The sequence below is a fragment of the Homo sapiens genome, chromosome X (assembly GCF_000001405.40).
Source record: "Homo sapiens chromosome X, GRCh38.p14 Primary Assembly".
NCBI lineage: Eukaryota > Metazoa > Chordata > Mammalia > Primates > Hominidae > Homo > Homo sapiens.
Window position 1 is genome coordinate 148,883,364 of NC_000023.11, and position 19,900 is coordinate 148,903,263.

At 39.0% G+C, this 19,900-nt stretch overlaps 1 protein-coding gene across 6 annotated transcripts in view; it reads left to right on the plus strand.

Annotated features, from left to right (window-relative positions):
* Positions 1-19,900, plus strand: part of AFF2 (ALF transcription elongation factor 2) — a 500,047-nt gene that overhangs the window by 382,747 nt on the left and 97,400 nt on the right. For all 6 annotated transcript variants that reach the window (NM_002025.4, NM_001169124.2, NM_001169123.2 and 3 more), the window contains one exon: positions 2,526-2,622. In NM_002025.4, coding sequence (NP_002016.2) covers positions 2,526-2,622 — 97 coding nt within the window. The remainder of the gene's footprint in view (positions 1-2,525; positions 2,623-19,900) is intronic.

The window sequence follows — 19,900 nt, forward strand, 5'->3', positions numbered from 1 at the left end:
TTTCCAAATTAATGGTGCCCCGCATTATTAGTTTTGTGCTTTCATAATGCACTTTCACATGCATTAGCTCCTGTTATGCTCACCACCACCCTCCTGTGATGGAACCAAAGTGTTATCCCATTGAACAGATGAGGGACACAGATGAACCTCAGAGCTGGTAAGTTACCCCAGATATCGGGGTTTATGATTAGCCAGCAATTGAGTCCCAGTATCTTGACTCCATGCTAATGTTTTCTGAGGTTTTTGTTATTGCTGTCAATTTTATTGAATATACCATCTTTTATAAGTTGTACACTCTAGGAAAACCTTGTATACTCCCAATTCTAGCTGGAGATGATCTAGGTTCCATGTTTGTCTCCGTGATTTCTAGCTGTGTGTTCACAAGCAAGCTCCTTAACCTGTCTAAACCTCAGAGTCTCCATCTGAAAAATGCAGCTGTAACATCATCTCCTTCATAGAAGTATTGTGAGGACCAAATTCCGTGCTGCTGGTCAAATACTTAGGACTTTCTCTGTCTCTGAAAATTGACCCTCTAAATGCAGGAATTATTTACCATTTCTTTTGCTGAATACTTGAATATAAATTAACACATAGACATTCCCTAGATGTATTGAGATACACACACACACACACACACACACACGGAAAGTAAAGCCATTTATAATAACAAGCATAGGTAGTTTGTAAATATTTGAGTTCTATAGCTTATGAGAATGATACAGTCTTCATTTCCCACAATGTGTTGTAAAGAATTATTTGTTCAGAGTCAGAAGTCTGCAACTGCAAAAGAAATACCAAGATACATTTTTTCTCCTTCTCTAAGATCTTCAAAACATCCATTAGTCTCTTGAAGGACAGTCATAAATCCTGCAAATTTAGTTTATCCGAAAGCCACTCTAACAGTTGTCCTTCCCAGCAATCATCCTTTATATCAGTCTTTGGTTTGCCGACCTCAGTGTACACATTCTAGTGTTATGTGACTGAGCATGAAAGTGGGGGAGCTGTGCTTTTTTTGGAGAGTTATTGGATATCCGCTCTGCCCTGACTCTCCTTTCAATATTTGAACATAACCTCTGAAGTAACTTTCCCCCTATTTATCAAATTAGAAGCTTCCTTTTCCCTTCTGGCTTCTCTTCTGGAAAAACACCCAAGTGGGATTACAGAGATGGAAATTTTAGGAGTGGCTCCAGCACTAACTATTAATAGCTGGGTGAGCTTCAGCAAAGCAATTCACCTCTCTGAATCTTTCCTTCCTTGTCTGCAAAATGAGGCCAGTAGACTCTATCATTTGTGGGAAGATGCTGTGAAGCACAGTGAGGTGAAAATGCTGCACCCTCTGCCCTCATGGGAATTACGGACTAGTGGGGAGAGATTCAGTGGAAAGCTGTGCTGTGATCCAGCTGGAGCTGAGGGTTGGGTAGAGGAAAAAAATATTCTTCCTGAGATGAGAGTTCTTTCTAGAAAGCTTTTGTACAGAAAGTGGGATCACTGGGCTACAAAGGATAAATAGGATTTCCAGAGTTAAGAAAGAGATTTCTAGCCCTGGAGCTGAGCCTGATGCAGAGCCTAGATGCAAGAAAGAGCAATATATGCATAGGAAATGGTCATTGGTCCAGAGAGGCTGAGACTGTCCCTTCTTGAAGCCTAAGGATGAGGTATAAAGTTATATATAATAAATAAAAATATGAACACCAATAGGTCTTTAAAGACAGTGTAGCTGGAATTTTAAGATAATAAGCTATTCGTCCTGCTGTAGCTCACACTTGGAGAGGATGCCACTGGAATTAATATCCCTATAGAAACAAAAGGCTTTGTGGCTCCATAAACAATCTTGAAAGTGCTAGTTCATCACCAAAATCCAGACCACTCATTTTTCAGGTGCCTTGCCTTAGGAGAGAAAGATTTCTTATCCACATCATGGGCTTACATCTCTCAGATCAAATTTTACAGGAAGAGATCGGTCATATATCAGAAGGTTAATGACTAGCCATTTCTCTCCCAGCTCTTTTGCGGCCACCCAGCTACCCAGCAGCAGAGGGCACTGAAAGGCAGTGCAGGTTCACTGTGCCTTTTACCTCCGTCATCCAGAGAGACCCAGCAGGCTTTGACAACAGCCTCCAGAGCTAGGGATGGTTATCATGCCCCTCTTCTTTCATGGGAAACTCTGAGCACCTTGTCCTGTAGAGATCCAGTGCCACATCCCACATACACAGTGATTGATCAGTACATTTATTGCACTTTTAGTAGTAAAAATGTATAGAATCCAGTCATCTCTGGAGATGCTGAAATAGTATTTTCCCCTTGATTTAGGGGAAGGTAGAGAGGGAAGATATGTGCAAATATGATATAAATATAAGAGCTCAAATATCTAATTAGCTGAAACAATCTTGGTTCCCTCTACACCTTTGAAGGATTTGCAGCTGTCAGATTGTAGCTCCAATACTTTATTCTCATTGCAAGATGTATCCGAGGATGATTTAGAAAATATGCCTTCTAACTCAAACACCACTCTGATCTCTTTGTAGGATGCTTGAGGATGACCTGAAGCTGAGCAGTGATGAAGATGACCTTGAGCCTGTGAAGACCTTGACCACTCAGTGCACTGCCACTGAGCTCTACCAGGTTAGAAGAGCTTAGGGCTTTGTTTTGGGATGAAGGGGGGAGCAGGAGGAACTGGAATGGCTTTGACATGCTTTGACATGCGCAAACTTCCCCATGCTTTATCTCTGGGCTTTGGAGAGAGGGAAAGAAGCAAAGATGAGCATAGTGTTCTGGAACAGGTCAAATCAGTTCAAACTTTCATTAAAGCTATAGTAAGGAGATGCAGAGCTCTTTAAAACTGCTTTCAACCCCCTCCCATCTCTCTCTCTGTTCCATACACAAATGCTGGTCAGTGGTAAGCAATAGAGATTGTCTTGCCCTCTCTTGGACTACTTATTGTCTTGGGTGAGGTATAATTTTCATTTGGTGACTCTGGTGTGAGGCTTGGAACCCATACTCATTAATTTAGATATAAATGTGATGCTTCATTCACCTTTCCCAGATGCACCATTTCAGAATGCAGCTGAGAATCAATACGCAACATCTTGCCATTAAATGAACCTTTAGGCAGAAGACATTTGGCAAAAACTTGTGGCTGCCCTTGTATCCTTCTATCCCACATTTTAAGCATTTACAGTATTTTACCACCAAATGAGATGGCAGGAATGTGTGTTTTCAGCATTTCAATGAGACTGGACTTTATGATTTGAAAAGGCCAAGTATCATGTATGACTCATGAGAACGGCAACCTAGTGTGTGGTGTCAATGATGCTTGCACATTTTCTCCTTGAGAGAGAACTGTCTCGAATGTGGGGTCCTTCTGGGTGTGCTTATCACCTCAAGTGAGGAATGCAGAAGGATTGCCTTTCTTTAAATCCAGTACCTGACCAAGATCTTCCTACAGTGAAGTCTGCTACATTATAAAACAGACTGTTTAAAGGAATGCTCATGCACTCGTATTTCAAGAGAGTTAACAAATATGGAATTCCATGTTCATTGAACATTTCATGAGGAAGAGCCTACAAAGAAAAGCTTAGGAAAAATTATCAAGGCTCAGCTACTCTATTCTCATCTACAGCTGTTTACCACACTAGAACTCCTACCATTCTGGTATACTTTAAAAATAAAATCCATCTTCAACGTTATGTGGCCAAAACTTTTGTCTACTTTACTTTCTCCACTTTCTTGTGCTTGAATTTTAATAATATGTAAAAAATAATTGCATCTTTGCAAGTTTAGTGCTTTATCAAGAACAACCACAGGGTAAGTGCAGACTACATAGTGCTGGCCTAAGCCAATTTCACAACTGTTCCCCAAGGGCTTGCTGTACATTTACTGGATGCAAGCTGTCTCCCTCCTGCTTGAGTTGGGCTTCATAGCAAATGTAAAATGTACACTTCATTTCCAAAAATTGTCATTTCTCCTTCACACATTTAATACGCCAATAGCAGGAGCATCATATTTGTAAGTAAAACAAAAGCAAAAATGAAAACATTCTAGATCATTGATTTTGACAGATAAAAAGTTGCCTTTTAATGGAAATGTTTAAAGTAGAATTCAATAATAATTGAAAGTAGATTTTGCACATTGACTTCCTCTTTATGTAATTATATGAATGTAATCTACTTTTTAACTTATAAAGTTATTTTCTGTATTTATCTCAAAATTGGCAAAGGGTCTGTTAGCCTGAATCATCTGAGTTTTAGGGTATATTCACTGACTTTTTGTAAGTGCTGAGACTCTCAGATGATCAGGATTGGTGGGTTGGAACCTTTTTATGACATGTTGCCGCTAGTCATGATGTCTTCCTCAAAAAGGCTTAGGTTCTCAGTGAAAATTTGATGGGGAGATTGAACTAGGGGCTCTAAGGTGAGGCAAAATGACAACTTATTCCCTCTAGCTGAGTCCTAGGAGCAAGATGTAGGCACAAGGTTATAAACATTTGCAAATGAACCCTCCTTGTAGAGTTTGAAGATGAGTTACAAGGCCTGGAAGGCTATAGACCAAAAGAGAATGCTTGTGCAGTAGTGGCAGCAGTAATACTAGCAATGTTTGCAGAGCTCTGCTTTTAGGATGCATAATGTCTTTTTGTAAAAGTAAATGGGTTGAAATAATTTTCTTTTTTTATTGCGGCAAAATTCGCATAACATAAAATTAACCATTTTAAAGTGTTCAATTCTGTGACACTTAATACAATCACAAGACTGTGCATCCATCCCAGTTCCAGAATTTTTCATCACTCCAAGTGGAAACTCCATACCCATTAAACAGTTCCTCCCCATTTCCCCCTCCCCCTAACCCCGACAACTGCTAATCTACTTTTTGTCTGTATGGATTTGTCTGTTTCATGTAACTGGAATCCTATAATATGTGACCTTTTTTGTCTGGCTTCTTTCACTTACCATAATATTTTCTTGGTTGTTCGATGTCATGTATCAGTACTTCATTTTGTTTTATGGCTAAGTAGCATTCCATTGTATGAATAAACCACATTTTCTTTATCTACTCATCATTTGATGGACATTTTGGTTGTTTCCAACTTTTGGCTACTGTGAATAGTGCTACGGTGAAGATTTGTATATAAGTTTCACATGGACATGTTTTCTTTCTGGTGTGTACCTAGAAGTGGAATTGATGAGTCACATGGTAATTCTACAGTTAACTTATAGAGGAATCACCAAAATCATTTTGTTTTAGATAATATAGTGCCATGCATATAACATAGTACTGTTCACTCATCTTTGAATTGGGACAGTCATACCTCCAGCACCATCATAAGGAGGAGTACTGAGACTACCATTTTTGGAACCACTCTTGCTCTATGCCAGGCACAAGCTAGGTGTGGTGTCTCATTTGAACCTTACAGCAAACCTTAGCAGTAGGTTTGGGCCTCCTGGCTGAGCAAAAGAATTGCGGAGTCATTCCATTTGTGGCAGAATGATTGGGGAGAAAGCATACAGACAAATGAATTGGTCCATAAAACTGTGCTCAAGAGCCCAGACAACACTGCTGGTTTCAGCTGACATAATAGTTAGAAATGGCTCAGAACCCAGTGGCTGCATTCGTGCAGACATAGTCCAATAAAAAAGCCATTTACTTTCTGGAGACGTCCCCAAATCATCTCATCCATAATCATCACACCTTGACTCATTTGAAGAAACTCAAATTATCCAGGTGTAGTGAGTACACAGCAATCTTTTTCAAACAGTATCTAAGAGCTTATAATGTGGGCTTAGAGCATAAGCATCCCCAAGAGAATACATTTCAAATACATGTATGAAAATGAAACACAGGATCAAGTTGTGTCAGCCTCTAAACTGGCATTTGGGTACCGAGTATCTTACAATCAGAACAGCCTCCCCTTTTTCTGCTACTTCTACCTTCCACAGCAGTGTTAGCCATGCTGAGCCAGGTGACAGGTCATGTGCACAAACACAAGCAGAGCAAGTAGGGTATGTTTAAATGCTAAATATTATTCCCTCAAATGGGAAAATGGAACATGAGTCCAGAATGGGGGAATTATAATATATAAATTAAAGATGCCAAATGGTCAGCCATAGAGACTCATGATCATAAGAAAACATTTTTAACAGAAGATTTTACCTTCAAATGACTCTTTAAAGTCAGAGATATGTAATCACACATGTACATGGCTTCAATGAAGACACGATAGTGATTGCAGCCTGAAAATACCTGTTAAAACTTTGTGTTTTCTCTCCAGTCCTCTACTGCATTTGACTTTCTTGGTTGGGACTATTTGGGCAGCAGACATATGCATGCTGTTTTCTAAGGTGGTGGGACAATGCTGGGACAGTGTAGGAGAGCGTGTGAGAGTATAGCTGTATAGTTACACGGACATGGCTTTGAATTCTAGCTCTGCCACTCTGAAACTGGTTGACCTTGGGCAAAGACCTAAGTACCTATAAAATAGAGGTAAAAATAGCACCTTCTTCATTGGGTCATACTGGGGATTCAATGATTAGGTCAATCAATACAGGCAAAAGCACCTGATGCTATGCTTAGCACATAGTAAGTACTCACCACTTTACGTGATAATAATCATCATTGTTATGGGTGCTACTAATGATCTAAAAAGCTTCACATTCTTTGAGATGCTACATATATTTACTTTCCCTTTTCTTGTAAGGAATGGGATGTTAAAGACAGCTGCTGGGTTTTCTATCCTGTATATGGCAAACTTGAATGAAAATGTCTGTCATCCTAAAGTTTATTAGCTGTGTGCCTGGCCATGAGTAATTTTAAATGTAGATATTAAGAACATAGTTTTTGGAATAAAGAAGCCTGGGGTTTAATCCCAGGCCTCAAATACTAGCTGTATACTAGCTGTATGGCATTGGGAAAGTTGTTTAACATCTCTAAGTCTCAGATCTCTTACCAGTAGACTGGAATAAACCAGCCTTGTCTAACTCATGGAGTACTGTAAGGATCAAGTGAAGACAGTGTATAAGAAAATGCCTTGAACTACAAAATAGGTGGTTACTCTTCCTTGTGGTCCTTTTAAACATTAACTGGCAGCCCTCTCTTTAGGATCCATAGGGAAATAGACATAGCCCTTCATTTTGGCCTAGGTATCCATAGGGATCTGTTAGGAACTGCATTGCATGTCTTAACTGGCCCCCAAAGGCAGCCATCAGATATGAATGACCTTAACTTTCCTTTAAGCCCTGACAACTTTTAAACTAGAGATCCCAGAAAGAAAGGCTAGGTTGCCAATGATCTGCACCAAGTCCTCCAGGAAATTATGTGTCTCCAAAAGAGTTTTTCTTCCAAGGATTGGCGTGGGTGGAGAGTTGATTCATACCCTTCTATTGCAGTTCTTACCTTCTCTTTCTGAGCTCATGCTGTCCCCTAGAGAAAGGCTTGAAGGCTCTTCTAGGATGCTATACTCACCTTGGCTGTCTCTCAGGAGCTGTCCCTGAATGGGAGATAAATAACTATTTGAAGTTGACATTAGACATTGCAAACATCCAGAACAGTGTTGGAATTAGACATAGTGCTATGTACTTAGTGTCTGAATAAACATATGTGCTGCAATGTATTTTTTAAGTTTGATATCAATGGCATGGTTGAGATTTGGGGGCCACATGATGTCTATTACCTGGCTGACTGCATTTTTTGCTTCTCAGCTGCCACTGTTGGCATCATAGATATAAAATCCAGCCCTGGCCTTCCCCATGAAACACTTATTGAATTTCCATTTTCAAGCCAGTCCTCCAGGGTAGGCAGAGATGGCCACTGGGGTTTGGCTAGGGAGTGGCCTGACCCAGGAGGACAGACGTTTTGGGAGTGGGAATATGTTATGTTCTCTGTATGCCCTGCCTCATACCACTAAACCTCTGGTTTTTCTTTTTGTCAGTTTTTCTTTTCATTTTTCTCGGGGTTAAAGGAACCCCTGAAAATCAGGAGTTAAACCTGGAATCAATTTTCATTTACAGCTGAGAAGCAGTTATTGATGCTATGCTTGCAGTTCAATAAAAGATCTAAAGATATAGACCTTGTGCTTCTCTTTCAATATAAGCAGCCTAATCAGTCTCAAAGGTTTTTTTAACAAAGAAATTGTATGGACAGGTTTATTAAAATTGCTGTCTTTAAAGTTTTAAACTATCCGCAATTTGACTTATTCCAAAGGCTTCTAGAATGTGTGGCGGGCAAACTCCAAAGCTCCCTCCAGCACATGTTCTTAGAGCCAGGTAAACATCTGCTTAATGTCTAATTGAGTGATATTATGATGTCTGATTTCCACAGCCCTAAACATGTAGTCTGGTGTCCACAGGTAGCGGGATGGCTTGTGATGCCTGGGTTCTGAAGCCTAGTTAGATCTGGCCATGGCTGTCTCATGCCCCAGTTAGCTCACATTGGCATTAGAAGCAGCAGACTTTAGAAATCTAAAAGCCATAAAAGAGATGGGTCTTGTTAGAAACTTCCTTTAGGGCATTATAACATTAGTAACATCTTATTAATATGAATTAGATTGAAATATTAGATGACTTCATTTAGCACAGTTAGAAGTTCAGAAAACATTTGATATGACTGAAAATGTTCAATTAGTGACCAGGTTCACTAAAAGACCCTACTTAAAGCTTGGAGTAGTATGCTAGTGCTTTAAAAACAGAACTGAACCATTAAAATTTTCTTTGAACACAAAACATTCTAATGTGTTGTGTCTGGGCATGTGATTGTGAGTAGCTCCAGTGTACCCAATTTTATTTAACCCCATCTTATTTCTTTTTCTGCCAAAGAAGTATGCTGGTATTCTGTGAAATGTTCACTTAATTGAAAGCATATTAATTACTGGAGATGTATGGACTTTCCAACTAGACACTAGTAGCAGAGTCGCACCTTAAGCATATGAGCATTTACAGAAAACAATAATCTTCTTAGATCTTCCCCTCCACTTCATAGTTTTGTTTTTTCTTTTTTTAAATCTTCAGATTACTAATTACCGAACACAAAAAAGTTGCTTTTAATCCAGTTTCTTTAATCCAGGTCTTATATTTGATCCATTTTGATTTGTTTGTTGTTTGGTGGTGGTCATGGTCATGGTTGTTGTTCTTGTTGAGCGAGCTTACTGGCCTGGTTGCTATTTGAGAATTTCAAATGAAATAATTACATAGCCACCGAAGACCCAAACATTCTGTCAGCTTTGGGATGTGTTCCTGATACCTGTGATGCACACTGAACTTTCAGAACCTAGTAGCCACATTAAATTGAAAGCCCGCATTTATATTTTAAGTTTGCTAATGAAAAAGATGCAATGAATTTTACTCCTGCTATCAGCTGGCTCTTTTGAAGTTGGTGTGCTGTATAGAATACATTAGTTGTGACAACAGATACTCTTCCCTGCTGTAATCGGTCCTATTTTGTAGCCACAGTTCTCCCTCGTCATACTGAACAAGTTGTTACCTCCCCAAGGTTTCTCTGCATTTCTATTTACTTTGTTATCAGCAGAAAGGCTGGGGAAAGCCTCTTCAGTAATGACATCGATACGACACACACAGCAAGAGAGGTCAGCCTGTCAGAGCTCTAGAAACAGCAGATGGATTAGGATGAAACTGGGTGCAAAATAACTTTGATAGAGTCTTTTAATGTAAACAGTTTATCTGTCATTGCCTTTCATTGAAATCCCTCACAGAATGATAGCATTTGGGCCGTTAAGGTTACAGAATGTAGCTGAATAAAACCCATACATTGTCATGCTCAAACTCTCCACCAATTAGAGAATGAGAGGACATTTTAATTTATTCATTAAAGACAGGAGAGTAAATAGGATAACATATAAGGTTAATAGAATAACATTGGCCTTCATATTCCCAAGATTGTATTTCCCATTTGGCTATATTAGCACAGAGACTAGATTAATAAGAAACTGCTTAGGGCTTGTATGATGTGGTTTTTAATATGCTTGAGACAAGTCTGTGACTGTTTAGAAACCTGTGTGCTGAATTTTTTTATTACAATTAGGTCTTCTCCTTCAGTACCAATTTTTTTGACTTGTAATCTATATACAATAGAATGCTTTGAGCATACAGAGATGCATAGAAGTGTAATGTTTTTATGTATTGTGCTTATCTCATGGTCAGTAATGACCAAATACTGGCTAGTGTTTAATAAACTTTATGAATTATCCAACTATGAGCATTTCAGTTGCAAAGCCAATAGCTCTTTTGCTTAGCTTAGCACTTTTCCACAATGACCTTAAGTCAGACACTGGTGAGGGTATGTTGTTTGCCCCAAGATCCAAACAGAAACAAAAATGGATATGATCTGTCATTTCAAAATAGATAATGCTCATATGTGACAGGGATGACCACAGCCTTTTCACCCACAAAGAGCACACAGCACATATATGGTTCTGTAAAGAGTGTGGCAGTGAGAGAGCAGCCACCTCTGGAAAGCTGGGGACCACTAAGTACAGACTTCAGTTGAAGTGCCTGGAGAAAAGAGTCCTCATCATGTTGCCCTTTCTGGGCTGGAGGAAGTGACTGGACATCACTGGTCCTTTCTTCACTCAAACCCCACCCTCTGTTTGGTCCAAGCACATTCTTTTCCTTAAGTCTCTTCATCATCCCAATTAGGGTCCTAATCCATTCTTGCAGCCTGGAAGTTTCACTCTGGAGTCATCCATAAGTAAGTCCCAGGAAATGCACCATGTGTGCCTAACTTCATTGGTAGTTTCCAAGCCTTGAGTTTAATCAGGGTTCTAGAATATACCTAGAACAGTATGCACATCTCAAGCAAAAGTTATATAATGAAACACTTTGCCACTTTGAAAAAGTAAGATTTTGAAATTTATATTCTGTCTTGAACAATTTACTGGGGCTTTGGTTTAGGGCTCAAGAATGCTTAACTCTACCCCCTCCCCCCCAGATATCTGCCATCTGCTAAAAAAGTCACCAGGCAGGCTGAAAACACCAAGGACCTTGTTCTGCCTGGAAAACTGAATTGATATTTTCTTAAGCAGCTATATTTACTTTTATCTTTATTTATCAAGAGCAAAGAGCATAAGCATTGTAAGTGCACAGAAGAGTTTCCAAATTTGAGATTAACCAATCCAACATTAACCATTCAAAATACAGGTGGATGGGCGGAAAAAAGAAACAAAACTTTCCAAAATGTATGGGGCCACATAACTCGTATTTCACACAGCAAAAATTTCATAGGAGTCTTTGGAACATTTTACTAAAAATGTATAAACTTGCTAAAGCTAGTTTATTGTTAATGGAGGTCGACTAAAGCTTCATATTTAACCCTGAATCATATATATGTGTGTGTTTCTCAAAAAACTAAAAATAGAACTACTATATGACCCAACAATCTCACTACTGGGTAGTTTTCCAAAGTAAAGAAAATCAGTATATTAAAGGAATACTTGCACCACCATGTTTATTGCTGCACAAGTCACAATAGCTAAGATATGGAATCAATCTAAATGTTCATCAACAGACAAATGGTTAAAATGTGAGATAGATAGATATATATATATATACACAAAATTGATTACTATTTAGCCATAAAAGAGTATAAAATCCTGTCATTTCTGGCAACATTGCTGCAAAAGCAAGTAGGGCTTTAGTTCTTCCCCCTCCTGTGGAGTCTGCAGTCCGGATTCATGCCCTTCCCCAAGTTCTGGCCAGGAGATTTCTCAATGGGTTCAAATTGTTACAAAGTTCAGCTGGAGGTTTCCTTCTCCCTGTAGCCTTTTCCGAGTGCCTCTAGCAGCCCTCCTAAAGGACCTCTGTGAGGCAAAGCTGAAATTGCTTACTGGGGGGGCCAGCAAGCCCACAGGGCTTTTCCCACTGCTTCCTCTACCCCTGTATTTTGCTAGCAGGGGTATTGTGCTTACAATAAAAATGGCTACATTTTTATTGTAGGGATACAGGGAACCAAGTTACAATTGGCAACATTAAATTCACACAGACAATGAGGGAAAGAGAGTAAAAGTGTACAGTCCAAGTGTGTTAATACCCATGTAATTTTATTTGAATATTGACATAAGTGACACCCACCCACCACCTTAAACACACACATATAAATGAAGTCTGCAATAACATCCTTTTGTCTTATTGACAACAAGTATGGCCATGCTACTATATGACTGTATTTGTGATGTTCTGGCTGTGAACAGTGTACTCTGTGAGTGAGTGAGTGTGTGTGTGTGTGTGTGTGTGTGTGTAAGAGAGGGAGGGGGAGGGGAGAGAGAGAGAGAGATACAGAGATACCGAAACAAATAGAAATTCTGTGCATTACTGATTGGCACACCACTGCCCTCACCTATGGATGTGTCTGTTCCAATCCCATATGCTCTGTTGTGTTCCTCTGTGAAGAGTAGTGCAGTGGTACTTGTGATAATTCCTCAGAAAAGTGGAAGAACCTGGCCTCTTATATCCTCATTTTCCCTCTTCTTCTCCCCTCTGTATCTTCTCACCTCTCCTGCCCAACCATTCTTACCTCTCTAATATTTCTTCTCCCAGCCCTCACTTGGAGCAGAATCACAGCATGAGCTCAGGTTCTTAAAGACAGCGATTAGGTTCACCTTCAAGCCTCTGAGCCACGAGCCTGCCTGGTAAAGTGGAGAAAACTTTATAGTGAGTGAGAGCATCCCTATGACCAGGCATGTCCCAGAATCCCCAAGCCTAGCCTTCAGAATCCTCTGGGCATAAACATGGACTCGAGGGTCATTAAGTCTTAGTAAGTCTTTATTCCTCTTTACTGCATCTGCAGAGAAACAACGTGCTAGATACAACTCCTTAGCTCAGGGGAGCAGGTGTGTTATGAAATGAGGGGAAGGGCACTATCCTGAAGAGGGAGGAATCTGTTTGGGGGATGATATTAATTCAGCTTCCCTCGGGAGCCATGAAAACATTGATTTTGTACCATTAAGTCTTCACAGTGTGACCATGAAACTGTTCTCAGCAACTTTTCTGTTTTAATATATTTGTGTAAATCCTGACGTAGTTTCACAACTGTTACAATTGAGGCTTCAAAAGATGAAGGAGAAGACATCTAAAATAGACACATTAGACTCTGTGGCACAACTCTGTTTATTGGCAGTGTGCATGCCTGCAGATAATGGCAGCAACTATCTTCCAACCCAGCAAGATTCTCCTTCTCAGTCTATAACTAATGGTGAACAGATACAGTATTTGGAGAGAGGTTTGCATGTGTTTCAGCTCTTTTGGCAGAAAGTGAAGAAAATTCCACATTTTTTTTCTGATAAAACATATTATATTGTCCCTTCCAGCCAGAGCAGAAGTAGTGTTTCCTGAGAGGCTCCCTTCCTGAATGATGATAGGGTGGACCTGATAGTACTACCAGGACATGCTACAGAGCCTGGTTTTCCTGACTAGAGTTAAAAATAGACTGAGGGAAAATTTAGTACATTAGACAATTAGATGGTATTTTTTGCCTCCTAGTTCAGACTATTTTGAGTTGTTAGCACAGAAATAGTAATGCTGTCTGTGGTCCAAGAGACATTCTGCTTTGATCTGCCATGTTCTCGTGTTCATTACTTCTCTTTTGATTAATGAGAAAGTAACTCCCTAGCTTCCTGTTTCTCCCTCATTGTGTCCATCTTCCTTATTGTATCCACATTTATCTTCCCACATCAAGTCTGACTCTATCCAGTTTCTGCTTAAAATTCCTTCCCTTGAACCCTACATTCTCCATTGCATACTACAGACTTTATGTAATAAAGGGCAAACACCATTGTTGCCAAGGACATTGTTGCCAAGTCCTTCACTCAATATTCAATCACACATATATATGATTCAGGGCTAAATATGAAGCCTTAGTCCACTATATATATATATATATATATATATATATATATATATATATATATATATATGTATATGAAAAATATATATATCCATATGTGTGTATATATATAAATACATATATATATCCATATGTATATAATCCTTTTAGATATATGTGAAATACTCCTGTGTGTGTATTAAAATATAGAATACCAGACCTTAAAATGACCATAGAGAGTTTTTACTCTAGCTTTCTAATTTTCTCAATAAGGAAACTGAGATACAAAGCAGTCAGTTAGTATTTAGTATATAAATAAAAATGTAGTCTCATTACCCACAGTATAATGTGTTCCAAAGGGATAGGAAGCCTTATCACACTAGCAGGTTAATGATAAAGATATTTTATCAGTATTTCCTGCCAATTAGGTTTTTGAATATGTAACTGAGTACCTACTATGTACTAATAATACACTTCCCATTTCTTCTGGTTATGAATGGTAGGGAGAAAACCTCTATTAGGCATTGATTGTCTCTCACTAAAAGATACATGTCATTTTATGAGGTGTGCCCCCTTAGCATCAGGGGCAAGAGGGCTCAGATTGGTTAGGGGGAAGAAAATTGAATTTTCAAACCCACAAACCCCAGGGGAACAGAGTGACCAAGTGCCACTTACATTGGGCCTCCTGACTGGGAAAAAATAAACACCTCAATGCAATACTGAAGTGCTTGGCTGGCATCTGCATATTTACTCCACTTAGAGAATGATTAGTGTCAACAGATGACTTTGTGGGTGAAACATGCTTCTTCACCAAAGACAGTACATTTTTCATTAAGTTACAATAAACCAAACCTTAGTTATAAAGGAAATTTCCAATTGACAAATGGATCTTGCCAAAGGATTTTCTATCCAGCAACATAGCCAGAGTGAAGGGAGCAAGTCTTTATGGAGTGCAGGCACTTCTGAATGCTGTTATCACGTCATCTTTGGGCTGGATGCTCACAAAACTCTGGCTTCCATGGTAGTGAAATGCACATGCAGGTACAAGTAGTACCTGCTATTCAGTGGCTGTTCAACTGGCTGTGGCAGGGTCTAGAATGGCAGTGTGAGTGAAATTGATATTTACTCAATGAGCAATGGGAAGCCATGAAGGATTATGACAATGAGAGCAATGTGATCAAAGTGGAGCCTTAGGAGGATTCATCTTGAAGTAGAACATAAAATAGATTTAGAATAGGGAGACCAGTAGAGAAGTGAGGTGGCAGTGGCCATAGTCCTGGTGAGAGGCAATAGAAATCAAGTTAGCAGTAGTTGCAGGAAGAGTGAGGAAGGCACAGGTAGCTACAAGCCTTCTTCCAGAAAGTGGGATGGGAAATTCACCCTGTGAATGCTGCTCCAGACTCCCTCCTCTTCGGAGTGTAAACAAGAGCCTTACATTCAGTTGCAGGATGAATTGAGATGCACATCAGCCTGGAGCTCAGCTCTTCCTCCAGAGGCTTATTTTTTCCCTCCATACAGAGCTTACTGTCCTCTGGCACATTTTCATGCCCAGAGCATAATGTCCAGGCCTATGAGTTTGCCTAGTCATTCTTGATTCATTTATCTCATCAATGTTTAAGTGACTATTAAGTGCAAGACATAGTTCTATCCACTGAGAACAAATTTTCCCCAACCTCTGCCTGTCAAAAGTATGTTCCTGCCCCTGTTACGTATAGCAAAGACCTATTTCATTGATTATTAGAAAAGAATGAATAAAGTTAAAATGTGGAAAGCCCAGTGATCTAAAGATAGGTAACATGTTTTTGCTTCCTAGAGGTTCAAGGTTCAAATACAGAATGTTTCCATGCACGTTTTCAGGCATCCATAATAATGGTTAGTGTTTTCCTGAAGATTATAATCCCCGTATGACAAGTCAGAAATTCAGGCATCCAGGTGTTGCAAAATCTTGAGTGACATTTTGTCCTCTTAATCTGCCACCCTTGGCTGTGTGTGCTTAATGCCAGCTGGGGTTTAGCCTACAGGATACATTGTCTTTTGCCATTTTACTCATTCCAGTGAAATCTATTTAAATGCTGTAATTAAGCGATTCATTTTTATATTTAAGCAAGTGCTGTCAGTATATGTCTCTTCAATTGTTTTAGCCAATTCTGTTGGTATTGATTTTAGGCCATCTGAATACCCTAATGATGAGTTCATTTGTTAATGGAAGAGTTTCTCTTCTGAACTTAAGCAATCGATGCAATTTACCAATACATGCTGCTAGGTTAGGGTATAGCTGTGCCCCACAGAACAATCATGTGAAAAAAAATTAAATCCAAAACAAAACAAAGAAACACAAAACCAATGCAATTAATTGTTTTTCTGTCTTTTTCCATGTTGTTGAATACCCAGTTATTTGAAATTATCTGAATGATTGGATTTTCCCTTTTGATTAAGAAATGTAAAAACCCAGTTTGGATGTATCTGCTAGTAGAATGAAAGGAAAATGCATATGAAATGGAAATGTAAAAGGCATATAGAGCAATACTAATAAAATCACATTTTATGCTTGACTGACAGTATTATTATTGATTATGGAAGAAATGAATACCTGAGTCCACTGCCACAATATCTCTAGGCCATCCAAATGTTCACTTTGACAGTCTCAACATACAGGAAACATATTGCATTAGATTTGTTTTCTGTAAAAGGAGGGGGATAATGTCATAAGTCTGACTGTTCAGAGCATGCTTCTTATAACCCCCAAAAGATTCTCACATTTTCTATAAATATATATATATATAACCCCCAAAAGATTCTCTACATTTTCTATAAATATGTATTTTTAGTCCAATAGACATGTCTATTTATACATGTCTATTGGACTAGAATAGCAATTAATTGAGTATAATCTCTGAGACAGAATTACCTTGCTAAAGAATTTTGAAGAAGTGTTATCATTATAAAGAAAATGGCTGGCAAGTTTTCTAAGCACCTTTTATGTCATATTTTATCCTTAAGGAAATGTGATACCATGTATGCCACGTGGATGGGACTCAAGAGACAGCAACTGTCTTTCCTTCCTTCCTTCTTTCTTTCTACCTATTTTTTTGTAATAGTGCTATATGATATGGTTTTTGTAATTCAACATGGTTCCTGGGTTACTTGAGCTTTAGTGCAGCACAAGGATTCTCTATATAAAAGAAAGACAAGCTTCTTATTTTCAGGAACATAGGTTTAGCGAGTGAGCAAATCTGAGCCTGTCTGTAGCCACATCATCCCTCCAAAGGAAATAAATGTGCTGATAATGAGAGAGGAGTCACCTCAGAAATGCTCCTTGGAATCAGAGAAGTTCCTTCTTCCTTGCATTTAATTTCTCAAGATACCCCATGACAGAGGTGGCCCATGTAGAATAGGAGCTTCAGGGCTTCCCCATCCTCAGGGTCCAATGTTAATAAAAAAGTAAAGAGCCCATCTGATGGAGTGAAGTGTGGAAGGAGGGGCTACTAAAGGAGAGATCAACTGGAAAATATGGAATCATCCTAGGCTTCCTTGGAAACACAGAGAAAGAGAGAGAAAAGAGAGAAAGAAAAGTAGAGAGAAAGAGAGGTCTGTAGAATCTAAACATATCAAAGTCTTCTGTGAATAGCACTTTCCAGACAGAAGCATTCTATTCACTCCAGAACCACTACTGATATGGAGAGTAGAAGATAGTGGTTCCTATAATCCTCATTGGAATAACTACGTAGGTTTCATACCACAATGTGGCCTCTACTCAGTAAGCCCATAGACTATCTGGCTGTAAAAATCTATGCATGAACAACTGTGTAGAAAGCAGTCACAATCAAGGTGCACTGCATTTGCATATCATGTTGCAGCTTCCAGAGCACTGTTGTCAATGTTGGCTACTCACAACCACCGTTGCTGTAGAAAAGGCAGGAATTATTATCTTCATTTTTAAAATGAAGAAACTGATGCTCAAAGGTGTTTAGTACTTGCCAATAGGGTAAGTGGCAAATCTGGGACTAGAACCCAGGTTTTTAACATTTCTGGCACAGCACTCTCTCCACTCTAGCCTATTACCTCTCATCACACCATACTGGAGTACATTCTCTAACATTTTAATTTCTTTTATTGTTTTTTTCTTATACTAGAGCTTCCTCAATTGTGAGATAAATATCATGATAGGGAACCATGGCACAAAATAAGGAGAATATAGGTTTTTAAAAGCATATAGACGTTATAAATTAAAGCAGCATAACTGTTAACTCTCCAGCCTCCATTTTCCAATCAGTTTAAATTACTTTAATGTATGTTTTTAAATTTAAAATTAGCTGCAATCCCAATATGTAACTGTCTTGATGTTTGGTGAATTGTGCTATGTCACTTCCTTTTAATTTTCCTCCTTTTGCAGTGTGTCTCACATTCTGGCAAGTGTATCTGGAACTTGGGATGGTCTTCTTATGTCCCATCATTTCAAAAGAGAAATTCTCTCTTTGTGTATCTTGTAGAATAATTCACATATCATTTGCACATAAATAATTCACTTAAAATTTTTTCCTCAAAGTCTCTTAATGTAATAATTCCTCATAGCATACCTAAAACAACATCAAATTACAGTGAAAGCATAGTAACACATTGCGAGCTTTTTCTCATATGGCAAGGTTCTCTGCCATCATTTACTCTACCATCATTTACTTGCCATCATTTACTTGAGAGATTCAAGGTGATGAGCACACAAGAGGATGACATGAGGACATCTGACTAGAGCTGTTGGGACATCAGAATGATCACAAGTTAATTTCCAAAGAAAAGAGAACCTCTCAGCATAGACATTTTCAATCAATAGCCAGGCAACCCAGAAAAAATAATTTGAAGGAAGTTATTTTCCTATGTTGGCTCTATAAAAAGATGTATGTTTCAAAGAAACTGGCCTCAAACATGATCACGTTCCTCCTGATCAGAGAAAAATAACTGGGTCTAATTGACAGTTCCAAAGCATAGAGCAGAGAGGGTATTTTCAAAAAACATGCCTCCGAATCAAAGGGAGGATAAGCAATGTCACTTTGATTTTTCCCTCTTCCTGTCTCCTGCCAGTGGCAAGCTCATCCTATCACATCCAGCATGCTTTAAAAGGAAACCACTTGAACACAGCACCCATTACTTTGTGATAACCTAAGTCTTCTAGAACAGACTTATCTGGATTCTAAGGGATTGAAAAAAGTGGATTCACATGATTTCCACAGTGACATGTCTTCAGCCTACTAGTATATCTTATTGCAAACCAGCCAGGCTTGGGAGAGAAAAGGGTTTTTTAAAAAAAAGGCAGATGTGAGTGTGCATGTATGTACAGACTGGGTCCTGCTGCTGTAGGAAAGCTGCATGGCAGTCCCCACTTCTTGCCAGCACCACTTCTCCCTTTGTTCTTCTGACATGGGAGAATCTGCAGGATGAGTGAGGTTCACATCCTCTGTACATGGACTGCAAATGGACAGCAAATGGACAAGTTTTCATGTCCAAGATACATGTGACAGATGAGTTGGGCCAGCCAGACACATATTTCTTGTTTTCTCATTTTCACCTCTTACCTCATTCCTTAGCTTTTTTCCTATTCTAGCACTTGCCAAAATTCAACCTCAGGCACAGATGGTGAGAAAATGATTTTTGCCTACCAAGCCAAAGAAAGTGCCCAAATATTAATGGTTATTTATCTAGAAACAGAACCTGAGACTTAGTAAATGGAAGCATGGATTTCCAGCACTAACATCTAAAATTTGGAAGTGTTTTATTCAGTTGTTATGCATAGAGGTCTTCAGTATGTTGAATATCACTTGTCACCGAGAATGTCAAGTCCAGAGTTAGATTATATGTTGTCTCTGCTAAAAGTGGTTGCCTCTGTATTCTAATTTACAGCAGTATTCTCTTCTCTGTAGCCCTTACCCACCTCCAAGATTCACAAAGATCCCCAAACAGATACTTTTTTAAAGGATCTGAACAACCCTGAGGTTGTCAAATAGCTGCTTCAATGCTCTTTTTATCAAACATAACGTCTATAGCCTGAAAAAGTCTATGGGAGTACAAGTTTGGTTCTGATTACATAATT